The 4,106-nt window shown below is 49.4% G+C and overlaps 1 protein-coding gene across 7 annotated transcripts in view; it reads left to right on the top strand.

Annotated features, from left to right (window-relative positions):
- Positions 1-4,106, top strand: part of SMPD4 (sphingomyelin phosphodiesterase 4) — a 30,366-nt gene that overhangs the window by 1,244 nt on the left and 25,016 nt on the right. For all 7 annotated transcript variants that reach the window (NR_033231.3, NR_033232.3, NM_001171083.2 and 4 more), the window contains exon 2: positions 3,877-3,960. Coding sequence is in view for 5 of the 7 variants with exons in the window: in NM_001171083.2 (NP_001164554.1) it covers positions 3,877-3,960 (84 nt within the window). In the remaining 2 variants the exon portion in view is untranslated. The remainder of the gene's footprint in view (positions 1-3,876; positions 3,961-4,106) is intronic.

Below are 4,106 nucleotides of genomic sequence, written 5' to 3'. Positions count from 1 at the left end.
GGATCACGAGGTCAGGAGTTCAAGACCAGCCTGGCCAAGATGGTGAAACCTCGTCTCTAGTAAAAAATACAAAAATTAGCCGGGCGTGGTAGCGGGCGCCTGTAATCCCAGCCACTTGGGAGGCTGAGTAAGAGAATTGCTTGCACCCGCGAGGCGGAGGTTGCAGTGAGCTGAGATCGCGCCACTGCACTCCAGCCTGTGCGACAGAGCCCAGAGCGAGACTCCGTCTGAAAAAAGAAAAAGAGAAAGCTGGCCGGGCGCAGTGGCTCACGCTTGTAATCCTAGCACTTTGGGAGGCTGAGGCGGGCGGATCACGAGGTCAGGAGATCGAGACCATCCTGGCTAACACGTGAAACCCTGTCTACTAAAAATACAAAAAACAATTAGCCGGGCGTGGTGGCGGGCGCCTGTAATCCCAGCTACTAGGGAGGCTGAGGCAGGAGAATGGCGTGAACCCGGGAGGCGGAGCTTGCAGTGAGCCCAGATCGCGCCACTGCACTCCACTCTGGGCGACAGAGCGAGACCATCTCAAAAAAAAAAAAAGGAGAAAAAAGAAAAAGCGGCCGGGCATGGTGACTCACGTCTGTAATCTCTGCACTTTGGGAGGCCGAGGAGGGCTGATCACGAGGTCAGGAGTTTGAGACCAGTCTGGCCAACATAGTGAAACCCCATCTCTACTAAAAATACAAAAATTAACTGGATGTGGTGGCATGTGCCTGTAATTCCAGCTACTCGGGAGGCTGAGGCAGGAGAATTGCTTGAACCAGGGAGTCGGAAGTTGCAGTGAGCCGAGATCATGCCATTGGACTCCAGCTTGGCAACGGAGCGAGACTCCATCTCAAAAAAGAATTGAAAAAGTCGGCACTTTGGGAGGCTGAGGCAGCGGATCACTTGAGGCCAGGAATTTGAGACCAGCCTGGCCAGCATAGGGAAACCCGCCTCTACTAAAAATAGAAAAATTAGGCAGCCTGTGGTGGCAGGCCCCTGTAATCCCAGCTACTCGGGAGGCTGAGGCACGAGAACCGTTTGAACTTTGGAGGTGGAGGTTGCAGTGAGATGATGGAGTGAGACTCAGTCAAAAAAAGAAAAAAGAGGCTGGGCGCGGTGGGTCATGCCTGTAAGCCCATCACTTTGGGAGGCCGAGGCAGGCGGATCACGAGGTCAGGAGATCGAGACCATCCTGGCTAATACAGTGAAACCCCGTCTCTACTAAAAATACAAAAAAATTAGCCGGGTGTGGTGGCCAGTGCCTGTGGTCCCAGCTACTCGGGAGGCTGAGGCAGGAGAATGGCGTGAACCCAAGCGGAGCTTGCAGTGAGCCAAGATAGCGCCACAGGACTCTAGCCTGGGCAACAGAGCGAGACTCTGTCTCAAAAAAAAAAAAAAAAAAAGAATTGAAAAAACTTGGGAGATGTTCCTATTGCCGAGAGGCAGAGATTCCTGTCTCCTCTCACTCTACAGCTGCCTACATGGCCTCTTTACACCCAGCCTCTCTTCCTCCACAGACTGCCAGGTGTCACCCCAGTGCCTTTACTTGTGCAGTGGGCAGAGCTGGGCCATGAAAACTGTAACTAGCCCACCAGTGGGACTTGGCAGACTTCCTGTCTGTGAAGTCTAGGTCTGAGCATTTTTCATTTCTGACCTGGGTGAGCTGAGAGGTAGGATTCTGGAAAGCTGATCTTAGTTTTCTTTCTTTTTTTTTCTTTTTTTTTTTCCATTTTTTGAGAGTTTCCCTCTATCACCCCGGCTAGAGTGCAATGGTGTGATCTTGGCTCACTGCAACCTCCGCCTCCTGGGCTCAAGCATTTCTCATGCCTCAGCCTCCCGAGTTGCTGGGACTACAGGTGCCCGCCACCACACCCAGCTAATTTTTATATTTTTAGTAGAGATGGGGTTTTGCCACGTTGGCCAGACTGGTCTCAAACTCCTGGCCTCAAGTGATCTGCCCACCGCGGCCTCCCAAAGTGCTGGGATTACAGGTGTGAGCCATGGTGCCCGGCCTTTGATCCTAGTTTTCTCATGGCTTATTCAAAGGCTCCCTTGGCAGAGCTTGCTCTTCCCCTCCGTTCATTGCATAGTGCACAGGTAATATGGAGGGGATTTGCCCCTGTCTCAGTTTTGTGAGGTGGTGTTTGTATTGGAATCTTGGTTCTGCCACTTACTAGCTGGGTGGGGGTAAGTGAATTATCCCATTTCTGCCTCTCCTTCATCATCTGTACTGACCTGCAGTCATAGTACATCTGTACCCATCGGGTTGTTGTGAGGTTGGTTTTTCTATTCTTGTATGACAAACTTAGCAGCTTAAACCGGCATCCATTTATTATCTCATAGTTATGTATGCAGAAGTCCAGGCATTACAAGATTAAAATCAAGGTGTTGGTAGCTTTGCTCTTATCTGGAGACTCTAGGGAAGAAGCTGCTTCCAGGTTTATTTAGGTTGCTGGCAGAATCCAGTTCCTTGGAGTTGTAGAACTAAGGTCTTTGTTTCCTTGCTGGCTGTCAGCTGGGGACTACTCTGTAACTTAAGGTCCACTAACTTAGGACTCTAATTGGATGTGCAAAATGCCGTCATAGCAGTACCTAGATGAGTATTTGATTGAACAAACAGGGGTCGGGAATCTTGGGCTGCTATCTTTAGAATTCTGCCTACCACTGAGGATTAAATGAGGAGATATATAGAGAGCATTTAGAGCGAGTCCTGGTATATAACAAATGCTGTACAAGCATTACCGAGGATTCAGTACTACAAACTTGGCTCTGAAGCTGGCCACTATGGGCTGCAGGAGAACAGTATTTCTTTTTTTCTTTTTTTTTTTTTTGAGATGGAGTCTTGCTCAGCCTTCTAGGCTGGAGTGCAGTGGTGTGACTCAGCTCACTGCAACCACCTCTCCTGGGTTCAAGTGATTCTCGGGTCTCAGCCTCCTGAGTAGCTGGGATTATAGGCACCCACCATCATGCCCGGCTAATTTTTGTATTTTGGTAGAGACGGGTTTTCACCATGTTAGCCAGGCTGGTCTTGAACTCCTGACCTCAGGTGATCCTCCTGCCTCAGCCTCCCAAAGTACTAGGATTACAGGTGGGAGCCACCATGCCCGGCTGAGAACAGCATTTCTATAAAAGATGGGAATTGCTGGCCAGGCGTGTTGGCTCACACCTGTAATCCCAGCACTTTGGGAGGCTGAGGCGGATAGTTCGCTTGAGTCTGGGAGTTCAAGAGCAGTCTAAGCAACATGATGAAACCCCCATCTTTACAAAAAGTACAAAAATTAGCTGGGCTTGTTGATGTTTGCCTGTAGTTCCCGCTAGTTGGGAGGCTGACGCAGGAGGATCACTTGAGCTCAGGAGTTTGAGGTTGCAATGAGCTATGATCGCACCACTGTACTGCAGCCTGAGTGAGCAAGCAAGAGCCTGTCTCTAATCAATAAGTAAGACATGAGAATTGGCAATGTAATGTGTGTTGCGAATTGGTAATGTAATGTGTGATATTCTCCTGGGCATTGTGAAACTATGTAATATTTTGTTAGGGCCAGGTGCAGTGGCTCACACCTGTAACCCCAACACTTAGGAGGCCAAGGCAGGAGGATCAGTGGAGGCCAGGATCCTGGGCATCACAGCCTGACAAACTAGCCTGGGCAACATAGCGAGACCCTGTCTCAAAAAAGAAGAAAATTAGCCAGGCATAGTGGCACGTGCCTGTACTCAGGAGACTGACGTGGGAGGATTGCTTGAACCCAGGAGTTTGAGGTTGCAGTGAGCTATGATCGTGCTGCTGCATGCCAGCCTGGGCAACAGAACAAGACCCTGTCTCTAAAAAAATAATATAAAAAGATTCTGCTGTGTTACAGATGTTGAGATTTTGTCTTTGTTTTTCCACAGTGGTTTGCTAAGAAGGCCATTTTCAACTCTCCACTGGAGGCTGCTATGGCGTTCCCTCACCTGCAGCAGCCCAGCTTTCTACTGGTAAATATCAACTGCTTGCATGAGTGTCAGTGTGGCCATAGTTCTGTAGATGTGGGACTTGAGTGTTCTTCCCATTGACTTGAAGAACTCTGTAGTGGTTGTTTTTTAGGGGCATGTGATGGAAACAATGGCAGACTCCTTAACTT

This window comes from Homo sapiens, chromosome 2 (assembly GCF_000001405.40).
Source record: "Homo sapiens chromosome 2, GRCh38.p14 Primary Assembly".
NCBI classification, from domain to species: domain Eukaryota; kingdom Metazoa; phylum Chordata; class Mammalia; order Primates; family Hominidae; genus Homo; species Homo sapiens.
The sequence above is the reverse complement of the archived record's forward strand: the minus strand, read 5'-3'. Positions and strand labels throughout refer to the sequence as shown.